Here is a 27,275-nt window from a genome sequence, read left to right on the forward strand (position 1 = left end):
ACTAAGTCATTTAGTAGGCTGTAACTGCATATGATTTTTTTTCTTCTCTTTTAGATAACCCAACAGCTTGAGGGAATCTGCTTACAGGTCATTGGTACTGTTTTACAACAGCATGTCTTAGGTATTATACCTCTGATTGTGCTAAGAATTTAGTGCTATTTCACATGAGCAAGCATTTTCCTAATGACTTAGTATTCTCTTTTAGAATTCTATGAGGAGATCTTCTCTTTAGCGCACAGTTTGACATGTCAACAAGTGTCTCCACAGATGTGGCAGCTACTACCCCTTGTATTTGAAGTCTTTCAGCAAGATGGCTTTGATTACTTTACAGGTGAGTCAAAGCAGCATGGAAATACTGAGGGTTTTCCCTGCTTTGATTTATTTGTAGCTTATCATTTGAACATACACTTTTTTTTTTTTTTTTTGAGTCGGAATTTTGCTCTTGTTGCCCAGGCTGGAGTGCAATGGTGCGATCTCAGCTCATCGCAACCTATGCCTCCTGGGTTCAAGTGATTCTCCTGCCTCAGCCTCCCAAGTAGCTGGGATTACAGGCATGCGCCACCATGCCCGGCTAATTTTGTATTTTTAGTAGAGACAGAGTTTCTCCATGTTGGTCAGACTGGTCTCGAACTCCCGACCTGAGGTGATCCGCCCACCTCAGCCTCCCAAAGTGCTGGGATTACAGGCATGAGCCACTGCGCCTGGCCTGAACGTACACTTTTGAATGTTCAGACTGCTTCACTGTTCGGAACAATTATCAGTAGAAGTTAATGCTCTCAGTGGTGATGCATGATATTGATTTCTGCTATATAATTTAGTTATTTTAGGCTTATTCTTTGTTAACACAGATACATACCCACACACCCCCTTGTAATCTTCTCCATATAAATGTAAAAATGTGTCTATAATTTTTATGTTTAAGTACAAAGAAAATCACTTTAATAATAGGTTCATTTCTGCATTTAATTATAAATGAATATGTTTTAATTAAAACTAAATGTTAAGGCCAGGCTTAGTGGATCACACCTGTAATCCTAGCACTTTGGGAAGGTGGGAAAGCACTTCAGTCCGGGAGTTCTCAACCAGCCTGGGCTATTAGACCCTGTCTCTAAAAAAAACTTTTAAAAATTAATCAGGCGAGGTGGCGTGTGCCTATAGTCCCAGCTACCTGGGTGGCTGAGGTGGGAGGATCACCTGAGTCCAGGATTTTGGTGTTACAGTGAGTTTTAATCACACCACTGTATTGGGCACTCCATCCTGAGCAACAGAGTGAGAGTGTCCCCCCTCCCCCCAAAAAAAGGTGAATGTTAGAGACAAAATGATCTCATAGATTTGCCTTTTTCTAAGGAAATTTTTCAAAAGCAAAGAAAGCATTTGTGTTACTAAAGATGTGTAACCGATGTTTTTTATTAATACAGATATGATGCCCCTCCTTCATAATTATGTAACAGTTGATACAGACACACTTCTGTCTGACACCAAGTATCTTGAAATGATATACAGTATGTGCAAAAAGGTAGGTCATTTTTATATATCAGATTTCATGAGGCTTCTGCTATAAAATGTATGAAATTGTGAAAACTCATGTGATACCACATTGTAGTAATAAACATGTAAACATGGATCTGACAGAATTAAGGGCTTTAAAAGTTAAAAGTCATTGGTCCCTAGATGCCACAGTTTTGATAAATATATGTCTTTTGTGTGCCCTCTGACACTTGGAATTTGTTTTTGAATTTTAGAGTGCCCGGAGTTTAACTAACATAGTCTTATGGAATCAAAAGAAGGAAAGAGTCAAGAACTTGAGAGATTTTTGAAAGGATTAGGAATGGATAGAGATGTTTTATAAAGGAAAAGGTTAGCAGCTATAGGTTTACAACAAGCAATAGGAAATGAATGTCCCCCTTTTGTTTGGTTGGGGAAACAAATAAACTGGAGTCCATCAATATCAAAGTCAGTGTAATTGGAAGCATTTTAATTTCTAGCAATGTCTGTTGTAGGTCGTTAGAAAATGATTTGCTCCATGAAGTTTTTAGATTTCTTTCACTCATCTCTTTCCTTTCTGAACACGAAGTCACACATAATCATCTAGTTATGTTAGTCATTTTTTACTGCCAATTATATTATTTATATTAATATTCTGGGAGCAGAGATATACCTATACTATCTACATTTCTATTCCTGAACACTTATTCATATGTTTATACTCATCTAGTTTTCACTAGCCTTCAAGTCCATGTTCATTTCTTGTCTGGAGTTTATAGGGCAACATTTGCCCTCAACAGGCTGCCTCTTCCTCCCTCCGTTCCTCTCTCCCCTACTGGTTTTTTGTGTTATTGTTGTTTTCTTTTTTAAAGAGAAAAGGGTTTCCTAGAAATGTCAACATCTTAGCTTTTTGTAGTTCTTTACGTGAGAAAGGTTAGGTGTTTTAGCTACCACCTGTGTATGAGAAGTTAGTGGTTGTCAACTTGCTGTAATCCAGAATGGCACTACAGGATAGGTGCTTTGATCACAAAGACCAAGATGCCAGAGGGCTAGACTATGAAAGATAGGAGGCAGACAGCTCCAGATCCTCACAGCTATCCAGATCCTTTAGTCTTTCATCTGTGCAATGAACATTGCAGTTATTCATATTAATTAGGGTACCTCAAGTAATACTCAGAGCCTGTACACAGGGTAGGAAATTGTTTCCTTGATTTAGATACCTGATTTAAAGGATAAAGCCTTACTGCAATTTATATTCTGTTTTGATCAGGTTCTTACAGGAGTTGCAGGAGAAGATGCAGAGTGTCATGCAGCAAAATTGTTAGAGGTCATCATTCTGCAGTGCAAAGGGCGTGGCATTGACCAGGTCAGTGAAGCTAATAATGATTTGTAGTTCAGAGGGGTAATCTTTTCCTTCCACTTTCTTTCTTCATTTTTTGGCATTTGTTGCATATTCTGTATGTTTTTGTTTATTGAGACATCTAGACAACTAATATTTTTAGTTCAAAATGTAACTAATATATAATAATGATCATATGTTTAATGTACAGGAATTGGACTAAGTTTTATGGCTACTTTGTTATCATGAAAGGTAAACTTTTGCTTAAGATTTTTTGGATAGCTTTAGTAATTAAATATCCATGGTCAGTTTTTTTGTTTGTTTGTTTTGTTTTGTTTGTTTTTTGTTTTTTGTTTTTTTTGAGTGAGAGTCTTGCTCTGTTGCCCAGACTGGAGTGCAGTGGCACATTCTCTGCTGACTGCAACCAGATTCAAGCAGTTCTCCTGCCTCAGCCTCCCAAGTAGCTGGGATTACAGGTATACACCACCACAACCGCCTGATTTTATATATATATATATATATATATATATTTTTTTTTTTTTTTTTTTTTTTTTTTTTTTTTTTGAGACGCTGTCTCGCCCTGTCGCCTAGGCTGGAGTGCAGTCGCGCAATCTCAGCTCACTGCAACCTCTGCCTCCCAGGTGCAAGCAGTTCTCTGCCTCTGCCTCCTGAGTAGATGGGATTATAGGTGCCTGCCACCACACCTGGCTAATTTTTTATATTTTTAGTAGAGAAGGAGTTTCGCCATTTTGGCCAGGCTGGTCTCAAACTCCTGACCTCAAGTGTTCTGCCCACCTCAGACTCCCAAAAGTGCTGGGATCGCAGGCATGAGCCACGTCACCCGGCCCACGGTCAATTTTAATAGGAACTTGTGAAGCCATGATTGATATCATCGTGAGCTTTTATTTATTTTTTATTTATTTCATATATTTTTTTGAGACAGAGTCTCGCTCTGTCGCTCAGGCTGGAGTGCAGTGGCGCGATCTCAGCTCACTGCCTCTGCCTCCCAGGTTCACGCCATTCTCCTTCCTCAGCCTCCCAAGTAGCTGGGACTACAGGCACCCGCCACCACGCCTGGCTAATTTTTTGTATTTTTAGTAGAGACGGGGTTTCACTGTGTTAGCCAGGATGGTCTTGATCTCCTGACCTCGTGATCCGCCTGCCTCAGCCTCCCAAAGTGCTGGGATTACAGGCGTGAGCCACCACTCCCGGCCCGTCGTGAGCTTTTAATAGCTCCATGAAGACTACTAGACTTTCTCTAAAATTAGATTTCCCAGTGCAGTGCCTCAGCAGTAAATATTGGTCATCTAATGCTACAATAGGGTTAATTGAGGCAACAAAGAAGTTAATATTTTTAGAATGTTTGCATGCTATTAATTATAGTCTTAGAATATCTTGCTATCTTTTTTTGTAGTGCATTCCCTTATTCGTGGAAGCAGCCTTAGAAAGACTGACAAGAGAGGTTAAGACAAGTGAACTTCGAACTATGTGTCTGCAAGTTGCAATTGCAGCTTTGTATTATAATCCACACCTACTACTCAATACCTTAGAAAATCTTCGCTTCCCTAATAATGTTGAACCAGTTACAAATCATTTTATTACACAGTGGCTTAATGATGTTGACTGTTTCTTGGGGTAAGTGATGTATTGCAATTTTACTACATTTGCTTTGGGAGGAACTCTGCTTATTTAAGAAAAGAAAACAGTTTTTTTTTTTTTTTTTTTTTTTTTTTTTTTTAGGCTTCATGACAGAAAGATGTGTGTTCTCGGACTCTGTGCTCTTATTGATATGGAACAGATACCCCAAGTTTTAAATCAGGTTTCTGGACAGATTTTGCCGGCTTTTATCCTTTTATTTAACGGATTGAAAAGAGCATATGCCTGCCATGCAGAACATGAGAATGACAGTGATGATGATGATGAAGCTGAAGATGATGATGAAACCGGTAAGGGATTTTCAATGGAAGAAGACAAAACTTATCTACTTAGAAATATTACCGCACTGGGCCGGGCGCAGTGGCTCAGGCCTGTAATCCCAGCACTTTGGGAGGCTGAGGCAGGTGGATCACACGGTCAGGAGTTCGAGACCAGCCTGGCCAGTATGGTGAAACCCCACCTCTACTAAAAATACAAAAATTAGCTGGGTGTAGTGGTGGGCACTTGTAGTCCCAGCTACTTGGGAGGCTGAGGCAGGAGAATCGCTTGAACCCATGAGGCGGAGGTTGCAGTGAGCCAAGATTGCATCACTGCACTCCAGCCTGGGTAACAGAACGAGACTCCATCTCAGATTAAAAAAAAATATATATATATATCACTAGCCCTTCTCCCAAATAAATGTGGGATCATACCCAAATGCTTTCATTCACAGAAAAGACTTCCTTTCTTCTCACTAGAGTGATGTAATCAGGAACTTCAGCTGTATTACCAACATGTAGAACAGTTCAAACCATTATAGTATGCAACCAACAAAGATTTGTTTATTTTACACATTCTCAGCACTGTAGATACAAAGATGAATGAGATGTCATGCAGTTCTTCAAAAGTTTTCTATCCGACTGTGGGAAAGTATTACAAAGCCAAATAATTATGTATATAATAATAGAGTTGACACGAAGTGCTGAGTCCACTTAAGAGCGAGAGATTATAGTTCCCTTTTTTATATGGTGGCATGAGCCTATAGTCCCAGCTACTTGGAAGTCTGAGGTATCAGATTCGCTTGAGCCCAGGAGTTTGATTCCAGCCTGGGTAACATAGTGAAACCCCAGTTTTTTGTTTTTTGGCTTTTTTTCCTTTGAGACGGAGTTTTGCTCCTGTTGCCCAGGCTGGAGTGCAACAGCGCGATCTTGGCTCACTGCAACATCTGCCTCCCGGGTTCAAGCAATTCTCCTGCCTCAGCCCCCCAGATAGCTGGGATTATAGGCACGTGCCACCATGCCCAGCTTATTTTTGTATTTTTAGTAGAGACAGGATTTCACCATGTTGGCCAGGCTGGTCTGGAACTCCTGACCTCAGATGATCCACCCTCCTGGGCCTCCCAAAGTGCTGGGATTACAGGCGTGAGCCACTGCACTGAGCCGTGAAACCCCATTTCTTTAAAAAAAGTTGTGGGGATTACATGAGGGAATCCTTGACGCTTAAATAGTGCTTGGCAGATGGCACTGAATTAACAGTATTAACAAAGGTACACATATCATTATAGTTACTATTACAAGATTTATGGGGGTTTTTTTTGTTTGTTTTTTTTTGTTGTTGTTGTTGAGACGGAATCTCGTTCTGTCGCCAAGCTGGAGTGCAATGGCAATCTTGGCTCACTGCAACCTCCGACTCCCGGGTTCAAGCGATTCTCCTGCCTCAGCCTCCCAAGTAGCTGGGATTACAGGCGTGTGCCACCACACCGGCTAATTTTTGTATTTTTAGTAGAGATGGGGTTTCACCGTGTTGGCCAGGGTGGTCTCAATCTCCTGACCTCATGATCTGCCTGCCTTGGCCTCCTAAAGTGTTGGGATTACAGGCGTGAGCCACCGCGCCCGGCGAATTATGGGGTTTTCATTTTATTTTTAAGCTTCTAAAGATTTATGGTCTTAATGTTGACTAAATTTATTGGAGACATCCATCCTATCATCTATTAATTCTAAAACCTAAGCATACTTGCACTATAACATTATGTTAATTAAATGTTGATAAATACATTTTATCTATAAGACTGTACACTATCAGTGTATAAATTGATAAAATATTAAGAGAAATTATTATAAGGGTTTCAACATAAGATAGCTATTGCTATTTTTGTCTTTTATCATTTACTAACTTAGCCAGCCTTTTAAAAAAAATCTTACAAAAGGTTTGGTGGGTGTAACGGTAGTGTGTTCATACTGCGCAGTTCTTTTTCAGATGTCTAGTATTAAGAACACATTAAATCAAGGTTGGTTTTCTTGGACTCCTATGGAAATTTTCATTTCTATTCATTATTGAACATGTATTTAAACACCAATTCCTGGAGCTCTCTCTTGTCACTTGTGACTTGTAATTTACTGACAGTGATTGAGATGATTGTCAATTTGTTGAGTAACAAAATATGTCATTGTTATAAAAGTACTTATATTATGACTTGGCAGAGGAACTGGGGAGTGATGAAGATGATATTGATGAAGATGGGCAAGAATATTTGGAGATTCTGGCTAAGCAGGCTGGTGAAGATGGAGATGATGAAGATTGGGAAGAAGATGATGCTGAAGAGACTGCTCTGGAAGGCTATTCCACAATCATTGATGATGAAGATAACCCTGTTGATGAGTATCAGATATTTAAAGCTATCTTTCAAAGTAAGTCAACTTGTTACATGTGGATCCATTTCATTGAACAAATCTGTTGTAGTTTCTGCCTGCCCTTTAAAGGAAGAGTTTGGAGGATATCAAACCCAGACTAGAAAAGGCTGGTTAGGCAAAGTAACCAAAATTATTTCTAAGGTTGCCATAGTTTCTGAGTATTCTTTATTCATCCTGTTATTTTACATTTAGATTGTAATTTTGGAAGATTATAGGAAAATAATGTAGTTCAAAAAAGTATACAGTGACAGTGCCTCTTTGCTACTTCTGATTCCCAATCTCCCAGCTTTCCTCAGAAGTAACCACTCTTACGTGTATACCTGTTTGTTGTATGTTATTATTTGTGTGTATCCTTTTTTCCTGCCCAAACCTATACTTAACGTGTTAAGAGTATATTAGCATTTATGGCATATGATCTTATAATTCTTTTTTTCCTATATTCTGTGATGTGTTAACTAATTTAATCTATTATTACTAAATTAGCACTTTCGGCATAATCAAATTTTTAGCTTTAAACAACTAATTTAACCTTGAGATTTTTGAATTATATATGCCTAGGATTCTGGAGCCACGTACACTGTTAAATATTCCAAGAAAAGTCCACTGTTCCTATAATGTGTCATTGTATGTGGCTCCAGAATACTAGGTTCTGGTTGGTTTTTACCATCATTTACTTGGATTTCAACAAGGTATAGCATTTGTGTTTTACCATCCACGTTAAGAAATTAAATTTCCCCTGTATTTGAAACATCTTTTCCTCTCAGAGTTAATTGCTGTTATATATCATTTCCTATGCACTGGGAACTGATGAATATATTTTTTGATAGAATACATTATCTGATAACCAAGGATTTGAGTCTTCTAAGCCCATGACAAGGCAGTTTTGATGCAAGGTTACAGAAGCACAAAGTGCTGGTTTCTGAGCTACATGGCAGCAAGAACTGATTGAGGTGCCAAACTTGTTGTTTCTGTGCCTTGTACTTTGTAGACAGACACCACATGTCAGTCCCTAAAGAATGGTTCCTAACACGGGGCCCATGTACCACAGTAGCCTTGATGATTTTCAAGTTGCTTTAGCTCTGAATCTTTTAAGATGGTTGGGTTAGCTTTATTCCTGAAGTCTCCCTGGTTTGTTACTTACTATATAAGAACTAGTTAGGCTGAGTCCTTATTTGCTGGAGAGATGGATCGTAAGAATGATTAGAGTTTTTGGAGCCATAAAGATAAGCTGTAGTTAATTTTTATTCCTATATCTGTTGTTTCACAAATATGGTAATTTTAAAAATTATTGGGAGAATATAAAATAGATCAGAATTTCAGTATTGCCTCGGGATGGAGTAGGAGGAATAGTGTAGAACGGAGCTACCAAGCCTCTCTTATTCATGTTGTTTTTCCCTTGTTTTTATTTTTTGATAGCTATTCAAAATCGTAATCCTGTGTGGTATCAGGCACTGACTCACGGTCTTAATGAAGAACAAAGAAAACAGTTACAGGACATAGCAACTCTGGCTGATCAAAGAAGAGCAGCCCATGGTATGTTAATTAACTGTAACTCCTCTTTAATTAGTGACTTTTATAGGTTTAAAATTTTATATCGTTTAATTTTATATCATTAAATTTTATCATTTAAGATGATATAAAAGGTATAGTTGTTGCAGGTGATAGGAATTAACTCTAATCTGAGGGATTTAATTCAAGATAACTTAATTTTGGCTTTGGCTACAGTTGGCTTTTTTCGTTTTTTTTTGTTTGTTTGTTTGTTTGTTTGAGATGGCGTCTTGCTCTGTCGCCCAGGCTGTAGTGCAGTGATGCGATGTCAGCTCACTGCAAGCTCTACCTCCCGGGTTCATGCCATTCTCCTGCCTCAGCCTCCCAAGTAGCTGGGACTACAGGCACCTGCCACTACACCTGGCTAATTTTTTGTATTTTTAGTAGAGACAGGGTTTCACTGTGTTAGCCAGGATGGTATCAATCTCCTGACCTCATGACCCGCCCGCCTCGGCCTCCCAAACTGCTGAGATTACAGGCGTGAGCCACCACACCCAGCCCCAGTTTGTTTATTTTTAAGTATAATTGGGCCAGGTGTGGTGGCTCATGCCTGTAATTCCAGCACTTTGGGAGGCCACGGTGGGTGGATTGCCTGAGCTCGGGAGTTTGAGACCAGCCTGGGCAACATGACCAAACTCTGTCTCTACTAAAATACAAAAAACTAGCCAGGCATGGTGGCACATGCCTATATTCCCAGCTACTCAGGAGGCTGAGGCAGGAAAATTGCTTGAACCTAGGAGGCGGAGGTTGCAGTGAGTTGAGATTGCACTACTGTTCTCCATCCTGGGCAACAGAACGAGACTCCATCTCCAAAAAAACAGAAACAAAAAAAACTAGAGAACACAGCCAGACATGGTGGCGCATGCTTGTAATCCCAGCTACTTGGGAGGCTGGGGCAGGCAAGTCCTTGAACCCAGGAGGCAGAGGTTGCAGTGAGCCGACATCACGCCATTGCACTGCAGCCTGGGTGACAAGAGCAAAAGTCTGTCTCAAAAAAACAAAAAAAAGTACAGTTGAAGACTACTTTCAGTTTGCAATAACTTTAGCTCATGGTGATGGTTAGATAGTAGAAAGTTCTGTTAAAAATGTAAACACCTAAGCCGGGCGCAGTGGCTCACACCTGTAATCCCAGCACTTTGGGAGGCTGAGGCGGGTGGATCACCTGAGGTTTAGAGTTCGAGACCAGCCTGACCAACGTGGAGAAACCCCATCTCTACTGCAAATACAAAATTAGCCAGGCGTGGTAGGCATGCCTGTAATCCCAGCTACTCGGGAGGCTGAGGCAGGAGAATTGCTTGAACCCGGGAGGTGGAGGTTGCGGTGAGCCGAGGTCGCGCCATTGCACTCCAGCCTGGGCAACAAGAGCGAAACTCCGTCTCAAAAAAAAAAAAAAAAAATTTAAACACTTGGCCAGGCGTGGTGGCTCATGCCTGTAATCCCAGCACTTTGGGAGGCCAAGACAGGAGGGTTGCTTGAGTTTGGAAGTTGAAGTCCAGCCTGGGCAACATAGTGAGACATCATCTCTACAAAAAATAAAATTAGCCAGGCATGGTGGTGCATGCCTGTAGTCCCAGCTACTTGGGAGGCTGAGGCTGGAGGATCACTTGAATGTGGGAGGTGTAGGTTATAGTGAGCCATTATTGTGCCACTGTACTCTAGCCTGGGTGCCAGAGTGAGACCCCGTCTCCAAAAATGTAAAAACTTACGAAGTTAAATAGCTCCCAGACATATCTTTTCATCTTTAAATGTTTCAGTGTGCAATTTTTAAAAGTACATTTTAAGCCAGGCGCGGTGGCTCACGCCTATAATCCCAGCACTTTGGGAGGCTGAGGCTGGCGGATTACTTGAGGTCAGGAGTTTGAGAGCAGCCTGGCCAACATACAGTGAAACCCTGTCTTTACTAAAAAACACAAAAATTAGCTGGACATGGTGGTGCACACCTGTAGTCCCAGCTACTTGGGAAGCAGAGGCAGGAGAATCGCTCGAACCTGGGAGGCAGAGGTTGCAGTGAGCCAACATTGCGCCACTGCACTCCAGCCTGGGTGACAGAGTGAAACTCTGTCTCTAAAAAAAAAAATAAACAAAAGTACATTTTAGGTTATACACCATTGTTAATGCAAACAATTATCTATAGACTTTTTTTTATAAATTAAAAAAATTATTTTATTTATTTGTTTGAGTGACACTGTCACCCAGGCTGGAGTGCAGTGGTGCAATCTCGGCTCACTGCCACCTCCATCTCCCGATTTCAAGTGATTCTCGTGCCTCAGCTTCCGAGTAGCTGAGATTGCAGGCACGCACCACCACACCCAACTAATTTTTGTATTTTTAGTAGAGACGAGGTTTCACTATGTTGGCCAGGCTGGTCTCAAAAACTCCTGACTCCTGAGGCGGATGGATCACTTGAGGTCGGGAGTTCTAGACCAACCTGGCCAACATGGTGAAACCCTGCCTCTACTAAAAATACAAAAAATTACCCGGGCGTGGTGGCACGCACTTGTAGTCCCAGCTACTTGGGAGGCTAAGGCAGGAGAGAATCGCTTGCACCTGGGAGGCAGAGATTGCAGTGAGCCAAGATCGTGCCGCTGCACTCCAGCCTGGGTGACAGAGCCAGACTCTGTCTCAAAAAAAAAAAAAAAAAAAGATTTTTTTCTTAACAGTGGGAAGTGAAAATTGGCTAAGAAGTCTACAGCATACAGTAAAAGAGATTATATTCTCTACATAATGCATGCTCCCTTGCCCTTATACATTGGAGAAATCATGGATTTTGGAACTTCCTGGCCACTAATGATGGTTAAGCTACTGGCTTGTTTAATGTTTTGTCAGTTTCTCACCAAGTTAGTAGATGATTGAATGCCCTACTAAAATTTTATTTGTTTTCTAGAATCCAAAATGATTGAGAAGCATGGAGGATACAAATTCAGTGCTCCAGTTGTGCCAAGTTCTTTCAATTTTGGAGGCCCAGCACCAGGGATGAATTGAGTTATCTCTTTCTTTCCTGCTGTGTGCTTGTAGTGAAGAGCTTGTGTTCCTCCTAGTAGTGGTTCCAGAACTGGTTCATGTTATCTATTCTAAACTAATAATCAATAGATGGACAAAAGAAACAACAACCCCAGGAGATGGGACCTGATCATGCAACCTGGCACTGGAAAAGAAATCAGCGGGATTTTGGGGGTGGGGGGGGATGGGAGGTACCTTAGAGGGAGTATTTTCTTTATTTTTTGAAGAAAGTAAGATCCTGACTCTGAAGCTTCAAAGTGACACTGTGGAAATCTGAAACGAGGGGATGTCATGAAGGCAGCTTTTCTTTTTCTGAGGAAAAAATAGGCATGGGCTACAGGACTATTTAAAATGTCTCATTTACAGTATAAAACTCAAAGGTAGATGTAATTTTTACACCTATGAGTATTTGTCCAATTTCTGTCTCTTCCTCACCATTGGGTATCTATTCTTTATATGTAAATAAGATAAGGTCATCTGATAGCCTTATTCAGTCTTCATCATTTTCATCATTGTTCCTATGTAGATTATTGGACATTTATTGTAGCACTACATAACTGATTATAAAAATCTGTAAATGAATTAGCACTTTCATATTGAAACAAGCCTGCTAGCCTATGTATAAAATAGCAAAATGTTTGCTGTTTATAAAAAGATGTAATGGGGTGGGGGGCAGGGGTAATTTCAAGTTATTAATTTAAAAATGAACTAGCAATTTTGTACCTGGTGACTTTGTGGTGCACTCACCTCTGATAGTGACTTGAATTCGGTATGTAAAAAGGGGTTAGTGGTATTTCATTGCTGCTAAAAATGACAACTCCCTCTGTGTCCTGTTTTTCTTAAAGCTGTCAGTGTACAAGTGGGTATTTGAATACCAGACCTTACTGTAAAAAATAAAAAAGGTGGTATCTAGAGCATGTAAATTGGATATAAAGTTCTGCTCTTAAAGAGTTGATCTAAGAGTATGGCTAAACATCTATATATGCAATCTATTAAAAGAACTTAATTCGGCTATTATGTCTTGATTTGATTGCAGTTTTTTCCTAATTATAACAAATTTTTCCTCATTGGCCTGTTTTTAATCCTGTGCCTAGAAGGAGTACAAAATGCACACTTTACAAAATTGATATTTAACACTTACCCACTCCCCTTTCCCCATCTCTTCTACCGCTCTTGTTGATCGTGGTATCTGATCTTGACTAGATAGGCTGAAGGCACATGGTTCCCTCCAAAAACCACTATTGATACCACTACAAAAACAAGCCAGCAAAAAGATACTGTAGAGAGGTTGGCTTGCTTCCCTCTCTTCCTAACTGCATGTTGAAAAATAAGCCGTTATTGATCTTAAACATCGGTCAGATGAGTCATACATTGGGTTATTTTTTATATACATGTATACACAAAATATTTCAAATTGAAAGCAACATCTTAATGGATTCAAAACTATTACAAGCTGTTGTCTAAAACAGGTGAGAAAAAAATTTATAACTGTAAAAACAAATGCACATATTGATATTTAAAATGCGTAATTAAGAAAACCCATTGTTGTTGTGTTTTTCTTGTATACCAATAATTAAGCCACTACTGTTGGCACTGTTTGGTTTTCTATTTTAACACTGAAGGAGTGAAAGTATTTCCTATATTTATGAATTTACTACTAAAATCTTGGCAAAAAAAGAAAAAAATTGTCTAACGTGTGTGGGTGAAAACTGTTAATCAAGTGTTTCTACTCCCCCCCGAAAATCCCCTGAAAGTTGGACACCAACTGTATACCCTAGGTTGCTTAAAGGGATTTCACTATTATATAAAGTCAATAAAAATGAAGTAGTTGTATATATGCAACATTGTGTACAGAGGGGAAATAATGAATAGTATTAAAGAAACATTCTCGTCTTCCTTTACCTTTAATCCCCTAATACCTAGTCTACTTTTTAAATTTTCAGACTTCACTGCTTTTTGAATTCATAATTCTAATTTTCACATTATTGTTAATGGAAAATCATATCTAATAAAGGTTTTAGTTATTCCCATGCACAGTATGAAAATTCTCATTTGCTGAGGTTTTGTTTCAAGAAAATGTATTGGCATGTCTTTGAGAACATGTTTTATTGTCTCCTGTGTCATATAATCCAAACTAATCTCCGTTTACAGACTTTAACTTGAAATTAGACCTTATAATTAAACTATTTAAATAGTGTTCAAATGATAGTTTCTAATGCATCAAATATATACCTCAGTTTTCATGATTTCCTTTAACATTATAATTTGGTATAGATCAAGAATCTTAACATGTATCAGTTTCTAGATGAGGCTGCAGGATTTTTGGAAAACTTTTTGAATGTATTTACAATATTCTCTTGTAATTAGCTACATAGGGACTTGTCTTTTTTTCTTTTTACATACAGCTTTTCCTACAGTTTTATTACCCTGTAATTTTTTTTTAGTTGTAGAAGTTAATTCTGATTTTGTGTGGATTTCAGTATTTGTCTTTGTTAATGGCACATATTAGCATAAATCACTTTTGTAAATGTAAGCTTTCTTTTTTTTTCTTGAAAAAGCCTTTCTATTTATCAGTATTAAATAAAGGAAGTTAATCTGTTTCTCTGCAGGTAATAAAATAGTGACACACTGTATTAAGATAGTGACTGCTATACTCAACTCTGGAAGAGACTAGAGTATAGAGCATGAGTGGCAAAACCACAGCCCTTGGGCCATATGCTGCTATTCAGTCCCAGATGTAGCCCCTGAAGCAAGCATAAAGAAAAATGAATTAAAAATTAAATTAATATGGAAAGTTAAAAAATGGATTACATTAGTATGACTAAACCATGTCTTTGGCAAAGATCTAACACAATGTCTTAAGTATAATAGGTAGTCTCTGTTTGTAAAATAAATGACTTAAATTTAAAACATCAGTTATAAAACTGTCAGTTCTGTTCTTTGTAATTTAAATTTTGGTAAAGATTTTCTGTGACCATTTATCAGTGCCTACTGAATTCTAGCTTTTATCCTTGGTGAGTTGGCCATTCTTGCAATAGCCACTTCACACTTTGGCTCATGGTAAACAAAGGTTACCTGGAAAGTGCTCTTGGAGATAGTACTGGCATCTCTCAATTGGGGGAGTTACCTAAATCAGACCTGCAAATTAGAGAAGGCTAGGATAATAGATTCTTTAACATAAACAGTTAACATTTTAAGTTGACCTGGCAATCCAAAAACTAGCATTAGCAGAAGCAGTATGCTTCTCCAAAGGTCTTCTAGACCCAGGCTGTAACTCAGCTAACTGAAGTGATCCAATACTGTTCTAGGCCCTTCATCCTTTGTATGTAGTATTACCACTGAATAGATTTGTATGTAGTATTATGACTGCATAAAACAAACAATGGGGACAGATATATCCCTTTCCTTTAAGGACCAATACAGTAGGCTGTACTCATTGTTGCCCCTTATATAAAGGGTCAAAACATATTCTTATGACCATGCATATCAAAAGAAGCTGGACAATGTGGTTCTTAAGCTAGGCAAAATCTTTGGTTTTAGCACTATAGGAGAAATATATAAGTTCTTGTGTGTGTGTGTGTCTGTGTGAGGTAGTCATCCCCACTCCAGGTGTTTTTTTGGTGGTGGTGGTGGTTTTTTTTTTTTTTTTCCCTGAGATGGAGTCTTACTCTGTCACCCAGGGTGGAGTGCAGTGGCACGATCTTCGCTCACTGCAACCTCTGCCATCCAAGTTCAAGTGATTCTCCTGCCTCAGCCTCCTGAGTAGCTGGGATTACAGGTGCCTGCCACTGCACCTGGCTAATTTTTCTATTTTTAGTAGAGAAGGGGTTTCATCATCTCAGCCAGGCTGGTCTGGAACTCCTGACCTCGTGATCCACCCACCTCGGCCTCCCAAGTGCTGGGATTATAGGCGTGAGCCACTGCGCCCGGCCCCCTCCAGGTGTTAAGGCACAGGTGAGAATTCTCCTTTATATATTTATAGATGCTGGGCCAGGCACGGTGGCTTATGCCTGTAATCCAAGCACTTTGGAAGGCTAAGGCCGGAGGATCACTTGAGCCCAGGAGTGCAGGACTAGCCTAGGCAATACAGCAAGACCCTGTCTTAAAAAATAATAATAGGCTGGGCATGGTGGCTGATTCCTGTAATCCCAGCACTTTGGGAGGCTGAGGCTGGCAGATTACCTGAGGCCAGGAGTTCAAGACCAGCCTGGCCAACGTGGTGAAACCCCATCTCTACTAAAAATACAAAAATTAGCTGGGCGTGGTGGCGCATGCCTGTAATCCCAGCTACTCAGAAGGCTGAGGCAGGAGAATTGCTTCACCCTGGGAGACGGGGGTTGCAGTGAGCCAAGATTGCACCACTGCACTCCAACCTGGGCGACAGAGTAAGACCTGTCTCAGAAAAAAAAAAAATAATAGATTCTACTTTCATATATAAATTGGGATTTGTCAATTACATACAATATTTGAGCTCTATAACTACCAGAGCCTTTTTTTTTTTTTTTTGGAGACGGAATCTCGCTCTTGTTGCCCAGGCAGGGGTGCAATGGCATGATCTCGGCTCACCTCAACCTCTGCCTCCCGGGTTCAAGAGACTCTCCTGCCTCAGCCTCCCCATTAACTGGGATTACAGGCATGTGCCACCACATCCAGCTAAGTTTTGTAATTTTAGTAGAGACGGGGTTTCTCCATGTTGGTCAGGCTGGTCTCAAACTCCCAACCTCAGGTGATCTGACCACCTCGGTTTCCCAAAGTGTTGGGATTACAGGTGTGTGCCACCGCACCCAGTCTACCGGAGCATTTTAAGGTTTCTTTCTGAATCTTTTTTTTAAACAAATCCAAGAAACTAGAAAAAGGAACTTCCTTAATGTGATAAAACGCATCTAACAAAACTATAAAGCTAATAGACTTGATAGTGAAAGAAAAATGTTCTACCAAAGACGAAGACAAGGATGCTCCCTTCTGCCACTTCTATTCAACATTGTACAGGAAGTCCTAGTCAGGGAAAATAGGAAAGAAGAAATAGAAGACATGCAGATTGGAAAGGAAATTAAAACTGTATTCACAGATGACATGATCTTATATCTAGAAAGCCATAAAGGATATACACACACAGGCCAGGCGCAGTGGCTCAGGCCTGTAATCCCAACACTTTGGGAGGCTGAGATGGGTGGATCATCTGAGGTCAGGAGTTCCATACCAGCCTGGCCAACATAGTGAAACCCTGTCTCTACTAAAAACACAAAAATTAGCTCGGCGTAGTGGTGGGCGCCAGTAATCCCAGGTACTTGGGAGGCAGAGGCAGAGGTTGCAGTGAGCCAAGATCCCCCCACTACACTCCAGCCTGGGCGACAGAGCGAGATGCTGTCTCAAAAAAAAAAAAAAAAAAACAAAACACAACTTGAAGGTTGCAGGACACAAGATCAATATATAAAAATTGGTGGTATTGGCCAGGTGTGGTGGCTCACGCCTGTAATCCCAACACTTTTGGAGGCCAAGGCAGGTGGATTACCTGAGGTTAGGAGTTCGAGACCAGCCTGGCCAACATGGCGAAACCGCATCTCTACTAAAAATACAAAAAATTAGCCAGGCATGGTGGGCACTATAATCCCAGCTACTTAGGAGGCTGAGGCAGGAGAATTGCTTGAACCCGGGGGGCAGGAGTTAACAGTGAGCCAAGATCATGCCAGTGCCCTCCAGCCTGGGCAAAAGAGCGAAACTCCATCTCAAAAAAAAAAAAAAATTGGTGGTATTTCTATACAAGAGTAATAAATGAACTGAAAATGAAATTAAGAAAATTCCAGCCAGGCGCAGTGGTTCATGCCTGTAATCCCAGCACTTTGGGAGGCTGAGGTGGGCAGATCACGAGGTCAGGAGATGGAGACCATCCTGGCTAAATGGTGAAACCCTGTCTCTACTAAAAAATACAAAAAAAACTAGCCAGGCTTGGTGGCACACGCCTGTAGTCCCAGCTACTCGGGAGGCTGAAGAATCACTTGAACCCAGAAGGCGGAGGTTGCAATGAGCCAAGATCACGCCACTGCACTCCAGCCTGGGCAACAGAGCGAGATGTCATCTCTTTAAAAAAAAAAGGAAAAGAAAATTCCATTTACAACAGCATTAAAAAACAGGAGCAAGTAAGTACAAAACTTGGACACAAAAAACTACAGAATGCTGTTGAAAGAAAAGATGAAAGACACCCCACATTCATGAACTGGAAGACAATATTGTGAGGATGGCAAAATTCCCCAAATGTATCTATAGATTAGGTGTAGTTCCTATGTAATCCCAGTTATCTTTGCAGGAACTGACATACTTATCTTAAAATTTATATGAAAATACATGGGACCTAGCATAGCCAAAACAATCTTCAAAAAGAACATGATTTAGTAGCACAATAGCATTGTACTGGTGTAAGAATAGACCAATGGGGCTGGGCACGGTGGCTCACACCTGTAATCCCAGCACTCTGGGAGGCTGAGGCAGGTGGCTCAACTGAGATCAGGAGTTTGAGACCAGCCTGGATTATTGGGGGAACCAGTCCCCAATATTTCAACGTACATTCTTTCTATTTTCCCTAAGTGTCAACCGGTCTGAGAAATAGAAAGAGTATAAAGAGAGGAATTTTACAGCTGGGCCTCCAGGAGTGACATCAAATATCAGTAGGCCCATGATGTCCCCTGAGCTGCAAAACCAGCAAGTTTTTATTAGGGACTTGAAAAGGGGAGTGGGTGTACGAACAGGGAGTAGGTCACAAAGGTCACATGTTTCAAAGGGCAATAAAGATCACAAGGTAAAGGCAAAATTAGAATTACTGATGAGGGTCTATGTCCCGCTGTGCACATACTGTCTTGATAAACATCTTAACAGAAAACAGGGATCGAGAGCAGAGAACTGGTCTGACCAAAATTTACCAGGCTGGAATTTCCCAATCCTAGTAAGCCTGAGGGTACTGCAGGAGACCAGGGCGTATTTCAGTCCTTATCTCAACCACATAAGACAGACACTCCCAAAGCGACCTTTTATAGACCTCCCCCCAGGAATGCGCTCGTTTCCCAGGGTATTCCTTGCTGGGAAAAGAATTCAGCAATCTCTCTCTTACTTGCATGTCCATTTATAGGCTCTCTGCAAGAAGAAAAATATGGCTCTATTCTGCCCAATCCCGCAGGCAGTCAGACCTTATGGTTATATTCCCTTGTTCCCTGAAAATCGCTGTTATTCTGTTCTTTTTCAAGGTGCACTGATTTCATATTGTTCAAACACACGTTTTACAATCAGTTTGTACAATAGTGGTCCTGAGGTGATGTACATTCTCAGCTTATGAAGATAACAGGATTAAGAGATTAAAGTAAAGACAGGCATAAGAAATTATAAGAGTATTATTAGGGAAGTGATAAATGTCCATGAAATCTTCACAATTTATGTTCAGAGACTGCAGTAAAGACAGGCGTAAGAAATTATAAAAGTATTCATTTTGGGAACTGATAAGTGTCCATGAAATCTTCACAATTTATGTTTTTCTGCCATGGATCCAGCCGGTCTCTCCATTCAGGGTCCCTGACTTCCCGCAACACTGGCTAACATGATGAAACCCCGTCTCTACTAAAAATACAAAAATTAGCTGGGCGCAGTGGTGCACACCTGTAATCCCAGCTACTCAGGAGGCTGAGGGAGGAGAATTGCTCATACCCAGGGGGCCGAGATTGCAGTGAGCCAAGATCATGCCATTGCACTCCAGCCTGGGCGACAAAGCGAGACGCTGTCTCAAAAAATAAATAAATAAATAAAAAATAAAAAGGCATAGATAGACCAATGGAATAAAATCGATAGTCCAAAAATAAACCCTTACATTTATGGTCAACTGATTTCCAACAAGGGTGCCAAGATCACTCAATATGAGAAAGAATCTTCAACAAATGGCTCTGAGACAGCCAGATATCTACATCCAAAACATGAAGGTGGTCTCTTACTTCACATCATACATAAAAATTAACTAAAGTAGATTAAAGGTCTAAATGTAAGACCTCGAACTATAAAATTAGGAAAAAAACAGGAGTAGGGCTGGGCATGGTGGCTCATGCCTAGCACTTTCAAAGGTGGGTGGATCCCTTAAGCCAAGGAGTATGTGGCCAGCCTGGGAAACAAGGCAAAACCCTGTCTCTACAAAACAACACAAAAATTAGCAAGGCATGGTGGCACACAACTGTAATCCCAGCTACTCAGGAGGCTGAGATGTGAGGATCACCTGAGCCCAGGGAAATTGAGGCTGCAGTGAGCTGTGATCATGCTACTGCACTCCAGCCTGGGTGACAGAGAGAGACGCTTGTCTCAAAACAAAAAAACATAGGCATAAATCTTCACGACTTTGGATGAGGGACTGGTTTCTTAATACAACATCAAAACACAAGCAAAGAAAGAAAAAATCAAATTGGACTTCATCACAAATTTTGTGCTTCAAGGACACTTTCTTTTTTTTTTAGACAGAGTCTCGTCTCGCTCTGTCACCAGCCTGGAGTGCAGTGGTGCGATCGTGGCTCACTGCAACCTCTACCTCCTGAGTTCAAGCAATTCTCCTGCCTCAGCCTCCAGAGTAGCTGGAACTACAGGCGCCCACCACTATGCCCGGCCAATTTTTTTTTTTTTTTTTTTTTTGAGACAGAGTTTTACTCTTGTTGCCCAGGCTGGAATGCAATGGCGCGATCTCAGCTCACTGCAACCTCCACGTCCCGGGTTCAAACGATTCTCCCACCTTAGCCTCCCGAGTAGCTGGGATTACAGGCATGTGCCACCACACCTGGCTAATTTTGTAATTTTAGTAGAGACAGGGTTTCTCCATGTTGGTCAGGGTGGTCTTGAACTCCCGACCTCAGGTGATCCTCCCACCTCGGCCTCCCAAAGTGCTGGGATTAAAGGTGTGAGCCACTGTGCCCAGCCTTAATTTTTGTATTTTTAGTAGCGACGGGGTTTCACCACGTTGGCCAGGATGGTCTCAATCTCCTGACCTCATGATCCACCCACCTGGGCCTCCCACAGTGCTGGGATTACAAGTGTGAGCCACTGCGCCTGGCTTTTTTTTTTTTTTTTTCTGAGACAGAGTTTCACTCTGCTGCCCAGGCTAAAATGCAGTGGCGCAATCTCGGCTCACTGCAGCCTTCGCCTCCTGGGTTCAAGCAATTCTGTTGCCTCAGCCTCCCAAGTAGCTGGAACTACAGGCACATACAACCATGCCCAGTTAACTTTTTGTATTTTTTTTTTAGACGGTGTTTCACTCTGTCGCCCAGGCTGGAACGCAATGGCGCAGTCTCGGCTCACTGCAACCTCCGCCTCCCAGGTTCAAGTGATTCTCCTGCTGCAGCCTCCCAAGTAGCTGGGATTACAGGCGCCCACCATTATGCCCGGCTAATTTTTACATTTTTAGTAGAGACAGGGTTTTTCCATGTTGACCAGGCTGGTCTCCAACTCCTGACTTCAGATGATCTCCCCACCTCGGCCTCCCAAAGTGCTGGGATTACAGGTGTGAGCCACTAGCCCGGCCAATTTTTTGTATTTTTAATAAAGACGGGGTTTCACCATGTTGACCTGGCTGGTCTCAATCTCCTGACCTCAGGTGATCCACCTGCCTCAGCCTCCCAAAGTGCTGGGATTACAGGCATGAGCCACTGTGCCCAAAAGGCACTTTCAAGAAAGTGAAGACAAGCCAGAGAAAGGGAGAAAATATTCGCAAAGTATATAACAGGCTAATATCCAGAATATGTGACCAACTTTTGCAATGCAACAGAGACAACTCAGTTAAAAAATGGGCAAGGAATCAGTAGACATTTATCTGATGAATATATACAAATGGCCAGTATCACAGAAAAAGATGATCGACATCATCAGTCATTAGGGAACTGCAAATCAGAAACAATGAGATGCCACTTCACACCTACTAGTATGACTATAATAAAGAAAAGATGGGCTGGGCATAGTGGCTCACGCCTGTTATCCCAGCACTTTCCCAGGCCCAGGCAGGTGGATCACTTGAGGTCAACAGTTTGAGACCACCCTGGCCAACGTAGTGAAACCTGTCTCTACTAAAAATACAAAAAAATTAGCTGAGCATGGTGGTACAAGCCTGTAATCCCAGCTACTCGGGAGGCTGAGGCAGGTGAATCACTTCAAGTGCGGAAGTGGAGGAGCCGAGATCACGCCACCCCACTTCAGCCTGGGTGACAGCGTGAGACTCCATCTCAAAAAAGATGGACAACTGGAAGTATTGGTAAGAATATGGAGAAATTCGCCTGTAATCCCAGCACTTTGGGAGGCCGAGGTGGGCAGATCACGAGGTCAGGAGATCAAGACCATCCTGGCTAACACAGTGAAACCGTCTCTACTAAAAATACAAAAAATTAGCCGGGTGTGGTGGTGGGCGCCTGTAGTCCCAGGTACTCGGGAGGCTGAGGCAGGAAAATGGTGTGAACCCGGGAGGCGGAGCTTGCAGTGAGCCGAGATCGTGCCACTGCACTCAGCCTGGGCAACAGAGCAAGACTCCGTCTAAAAAAAAAAAAAAAAAAATTGAAACCCTCATACATTGCTGATGGGATGTAAAATGCTTATTTGTTGTGGAAGTTTGGCAGTTTCTCAAAAGGTTGAAAATATTGTTTTACGTAGACATGACCCAGCAATTCCACTCCTAGGTATATATACCAAAAGAAATGAAACACAAGGTCGGCAAAAAATACTTACACACAAATGTTCATAGTAGTATTATTGATAATAGCCAAAAGGTGGAAACAACCCAAATATCTATAAATCGATAAACAAATCGGGTATATACACAACCAAATATTTGGCAATAAAAGGGAATTAAGTACTGTTAACACCCTACAACCTGGATGAGGCTTGAAAACATTGTGCTATAATGAAGTCAGACAAAAAAGATTCCATTAAAATGTAATGTCCAGAATAGATAAGTCCAAAAGGGCAGAAAGTTAGTCATGGTTGCCAGAAGCTGGGGGAAAGAAGGAATGGAAGTGACTGCTAATGAGTATGGGGTTTCTTACAGGGGTGATAAAATATTTTGGATTAGATAGTGGTGATGTCTGCACAACCTGAGTATATATATATAGATATATACTCAAGTGTATAAAATGGTGAATTTTATGATAAACAAATTATATCTCAAAAAATTATTTTCACAGGTTTCTTTTTTATTTTATTTATTTATTTATTTATTTATTTATTTATTTATTTATTTATTTATTTTTGAGACAGAGTCTCCCTCTGTCGCCCAGGCTGGAGTGCAGTGGCGCGATCTTGGCTCACTGCAAGCTCCTCCCGGGTTCACGTCATTCTCCTGCCTCAGCCTCCCGGGTAGCTGGGAGTATAGGCGCCCGCCACCACGCCCGGCTAACTTTTTTTTTTAATTTTTAGTAAAGACGGGGTTTCACCGCGTTAGCCAGGATGGTCTGGATCTCTTGACCTCGTGATCCGCCCGCCTCTGCCTCCCAAAGTGCTGGGATTACAGGCGTGGGCCACGGCGCCCGGCATGAAACTTTTTTTTTTTTTTTGAGACAGAGTCTCGCTCTTGCGCCCAACCTGGAGTGAAGTGGCACGATTTTGGCTCATGGCAACCTCCGCCCCGCAGGATCAAGCTATTATCCTGACTCAGCCTCCCGAGCAGTTGGGATTACAGGCACCCACCACTATGGCCGGCTAATTTTTGTTTTTTGCTTTTTTGAGATGGAGGCTCGCTCTGTCACCCAGGCGGGAGTGCAGTGGTGCGATCTCGGCTCACTGCAACCTCTGCCTTCCAGGTTCAAGGGATTCTCCTGCCTCAGCCTCCTGAGTAGCTGGGACTGTAGGCGCATGCCACCACGCCCAGATAATTTTTTGTATTTTTATTATTTATTTATCTTTTTGTTTGCTTTTTTGGGACAAAGTCTTGCTCTGTTGCCCAGGCTGGAGTGCAACGGCACGATCTCGGCTCACTGCAACCTCCGCCTCCCGGGTTCAAGCGATTCTCCTGCCTCAGCTTCCCAAGTAGCTGGGATTACAGGCACCTGCCACCATGCCCGGCTAATTTTTGCATTTTTAGTAGAGACGGCGTTTCACCATGCTGGCTAGGCTGGTCTCAAACTCCCGACCTCAGGCGATCTGCCCACTTCCGCCTCCCAAAGTGCTGGGATTACAGGCGTGAGCCACTGTGCCCGGCCAATTTTTTGTATTTTTAGTAGAGACGGGTTTTCACCGTGTTAGCCAGGATAGTCTTGATCTCCTGACCTTGTGATCCGCCCGCCTCGTCCTCCCAAAGTGGTGGGATTACAAGTGTGAGCCACCGTGCCCAGCCTAATTTTTGTACTTTTAGTAGAGATGCGATTTCGCCATGTTGGCCTGGTTGGTCTCGAACTCCTGACTTCAGGTGGTCCACCCTCCTCGGCCTCCCAAAGTGCTGGGATTACAGGTGTGAACCACCGCACCCGGCCTTTTTTTTTTTTTAGATGGATTCTCACTCTGTCACCCAGGCTGGAGTGGAGTGGTGTGACCCTGGCTCACTGCAACCTCCGCCTCCGGGGTTCAAGCCATTCTCCTGCCTCAGCCTGCTGAGTAGCTGGGATTACAGGCGCCCACCACCACGCCGGGCTAATTTTTGTATTTTTAGTAGAGACGGGGTTTCACCATGGCTCGAACTCCTGACCTCGTGATCCGCCTGCCTCGGCTTCCCAAAGTGCTAGGATTGCAGGTGTGAGCCACCGCGCCCGGCCTGAAATAATTGCTTTTAAGCTTAACTCATCGTTTATCTTTTTTCTATATATATCATATATAATTTCTATATATATAGTATACATATATATCATATATAATTTCTATATATATATAGTATACATATATACTACTTTAATGCTTATAGCATGGTATAAATATGCCAAAACCAACCAATTCTCCAGTAAGTTTTAAGTTACTGAAAGAAGTGTTTTAGAAAATATTATCTTAACAGTTTTTGAAGGGGGCTACAAATAAGTTACCTCTTGTTTAGGAAGTTGGGGAAATTATTTAATTTCTGCATTTAAGAGCCTGGACTAGTACTGATTGACAGGGAAACATTTTCAAGCCATTAATTTGACCGGATATAACACGATATAAGGGAAGGGAGATGAATGGGATAACATTTTAAGCTTATGAATGGCTCTGAATATATGTACATTTGAACTCTGTTCTATAGTCACTGGTAAATACTGTTAACACAACGTTCCATTACCTGTGACAAATCAGAATTAGGTTTCTCTCTGAATCCAGTTACAATTATAGCATCCTATCCACCGCCACCATCATCGCCATTCAATTTTTAGAACAACTCAGTAGCTTCTGGGGATACAAAGATGTCCTGTAATTGTTATCTACAATAAGAGGGCGATTTAAAAATTCTTGAGATTCTGTATTATAGTGTTTTAATGAGTAGCCTACAGGCATGGGACTTAGTGGAACTGCATAAAAATATTCTGATGGGTTAAAAAACACCTCCAATTACAAAACACAGATACATGTGGAGGGAACAGAAATTATAAATTAAAACCATTTGTTTTTCAGCTGGGCTACTTCTTTGTAACAGAGAATGTATCCATTGGGTAGGAGACTGATTTTAACTGAGCAAAATCCTCCAGTTAAAAGTAACCTAATCCTTTTTTTTTTTTTTTTTTTTTTTTTTTTGAGACGGAATCTTGCTCTGTTGCCCAGCCTGGAGTGCAGTGGCGCAATCTCAGCTCACTGCAAGCTCCGCCTCCCGGGTTCACGCCATTTTCCTGCCTCATTCTCCCGAGTAGCTGGGACTACAGGCGCCCGCCACCACGCCTGCTAAATTTTTTGTATTTTTAGTAGAGACGGGGTTTCACCGCGTTAGCCAGGATGGTCTCGATCTCCTGACCTCATGATCTGCCCGCCTTGGCCTCCCAAAGTGCTGGGATTACAGGCGTGAGCCTCCGCGCCCGGCCACCTAATCCATTTTTTATATGTGACACTTTTATTTTAAGGGCTTAAAAAGTAATCCGGGCCGGGCGCGGTGGCTCACGCCTGTAATCCCAGTACTTTGGTAGGCTGAGGTGGGCGGATTACGCGGTCAGGAGTTTCAGACCAGCCTGGCCAACATGGTGAAACCCCGTCTCTACTAAAAACAGAAAAATTAGCCGGGCGTGATGGTGGGCGCCTGTAGTCCCAGCTACTCAGGAGGTTGAGGCAGGAGAAATCGCTTGAACCTGGGAGGCGGAGGTTGCAGTGAGCTGAGATCGTGCCACTGCATTGCAGTCTGGGCTACAGGGCGAGACTCCGTCTCAAAAAACAAACAAACAAACAAAAAACAGTAATCCGAACTGATTTAAACTTCTTTATTAACAGAATATATGTTCAAACAAAGCTTAAAGTCCCATTTTCTTTCCATTGGCGTCTAGGCCCCTATTACTCAACTATCCGTTGGTTAGGGCCTGCACCTCAAGGTAGGCTTAATTGTAAATCAAAATATTTACTATCCACACTTAGAGGGCTATCTGTAACATCGTTTTTATTTATCCCCGTCCATTCGATAATCGTCTGAAATGCAAGACATTAAGTTGAACATCATCCAGCTTTCTCCCTGTTTTTCTAAGCGCGATCCAAATCTGTTACAACAGGGTAGTCTCTCATTCTCTTGGTAGCTCAATTCTACCCCCTGGCCGACTTAAGAAATTTTGAGTCTAATACACCCACCTCATCTTTAGTCGGCCTGGTGCGCCAACGCAAATTTGTACTGAGTACCTTCGGAACTGACTAGTAAGTATATCCAAAGGTTTAGAAAGGGCTGGGTTAAGAGCTACAAGAAGCATTAACCGCAACGGCCACAACTAATTTGTATCCATTCTTAGTAACTTTAGGGAACCAGACTGAATGCTTCTCCCACCCTTTTGACTTTCCTTTATTAGTTCGCAACACAAGAACATACAAAAGACCGTAGCGACAACCATTTCTGACGCCTTCAACTTTTAAATCCAAATTACGTGAAACCACAAAGCATCAGTGGTGTCTCCCCGAGGAATCCAAGACCCCCCGGCCGGTTGCCAAGCCGCCGGAATTTCAGCAGGAGAGGAAGGCTCACCCTCCCACCGCATGGCGATGCCCGGGAGACTGGAGAAGCTCAGGCAGGCTTGGAAGCCAATCCCCGGCATACAGCAGCTCTCGGGAATGCAGAGCCCTAGAGCAAGACCAAGGGCCTCGGCCGACACTGAGAGCCTCCAGGGAGAGGTCAGGTCTCTCTTTCTGTCCTATTTCTCCCTTCGACTTCCCTCCCAGCAGGCTGCTATTGAGCATTCAGCAATCGCCAGACAAAGCCCTTCTGGTCTGCAGAACGCACTCCGGCAAGCCCACCGGGAGAACCAAAGCCGCCTCCTCGCCCCTGTGGGGAAAATGGCGCTCGTCACCCCGGCTCCCTCCCGGGTAATCACAAGGACCAGCCTCCCTCCCTCGCTACAAAATGGCGCCTCCCGCTGGGGCCCCAGAATCGGTATGACTCGCTAGTCAGTGAGGCGGGGTCCGTCTGGGATAAGCGGTTATGTCAACCAGTCAGACACAGGAGC

General features: G+C 42.1%; 1 protein-coding gene and 1 long non-coding RNA gene across 2 annotated transcripts in view, besides 4 other annotated features; one reads left to right on the top strand and one right to left on the bottom strand.

Moving 5' to 3' along the window:
* Positions 1–14,612, top strand: part of IPO7 (importin 7) — a 63,476-nt gene extending 48,864 nt beyond the window's left edge. The window contains exons 17-25 of the mRNA NM_006391.3: positions 55–121; positions 206–331; positions 1,419–1,516; positions 2,756–2,851; positions 4,239–4,459; positions 4,565–4,770; positions 6,940–7,146; positions 8,566–8,682; positions 11,582–14,612. Coding sequence (NP_006382.1) covers positions 55–121; positions 206–331; positions 1,419–1,516; positions 2,756–2,851; positions 4,239–4,459; positions 4,565–4,770; positions 6,940–7,146; positions 8,566–8,682; positions 11,582–11,679 — 1,236 coding nt within the window. The 3' untranslated portion in view covers positions 11,680–14,612. The remainder of the gene's footprint in view (positions 1–54; positions 122–205; positions 332–1,418; positions 1,517–2,755; positions 2,852–4,238; positions 4,460–4,564; positions 4,771–6,939; positions 7,147–8,565; positions 8,683–11,581) is intronic.
* Positions 25,866–26,501: an enhancer, noted in NCBI's record as "NANOG-H3K27ac-H3K4me1 hESC enhancer chr11:9480928-9481563 (GRCh37/hg19 assembly coordinates)". NCBI's record gives its function as "activates a minimal SCP1, AML or CMV promoter by ChIP-STARR-seq in naive H9 embryonic stem cells {active_cell/tissue: H9 hESC(naive)}" and the evidence as "EXISTENCE:reporter gene assay evidence [ECO:0000049][PMID:30033119]".
* On the bottom strand, positions 26,041–27,183 carry ZNF143-AS1 (ZNF143 antisense RNA 1). Its single transcript, NR_036539.1, has one exon. It is a non-coding gene; the product is annotated as a ZNF143 antisense RNA 1 (long non-coding RNA).
* Positions 26,701–26,780: an enhancer, noted in NCBI's record as "active region_4406". NCBI's record gives its function as "activates an Ori minimal core promoter by ATAC-STARR-seq in GM12878 lymphoblastoid cells {active_cell/tissue: GM12878}" and the evidence as "EXISTENCE:reporter gene assay evidence [ECO:0000049][PMID:35858748]".
* Positions 26,871–26,970: an enhancer, noted in NCBI's record as "active region_4407". NCBI's record gives its function as "activates an Ori minimal core promoter by ATAC-STARR-seq in GM12878 lymphoblastoid cells {active_cell/tissue: GM12878}" and the evidence as "EXISTENCE:reporter gene assay evidence [ECO:0000049][PMID:35858748]".
* Positions 27,031–27,110: an enhancer, noted in NCBI's record as "active region_4408". NCBI's record gives its function as "activates an Ori minimal core promoter by ATAC-STARR-seq in GM12878 lymphoblastoid cells {active_cell/tissue: GM12878}" and the evidence as "EXISTENCE:reporter gene assay evidence [ECO:0000049][PMID:35858748]".

This window comes from Homo sapiens, chromosome 11 (genome assembly GCF_000001405.40).
Source record: "Homo sapiens chromosome 11, GRCh38.p14 Primary Assembly".
Lineage (NCBI taxonomy): Eukaryota > Metazoa > Chordata > Mammalia > Primates > Hominidae > Homo > Homo sapiens.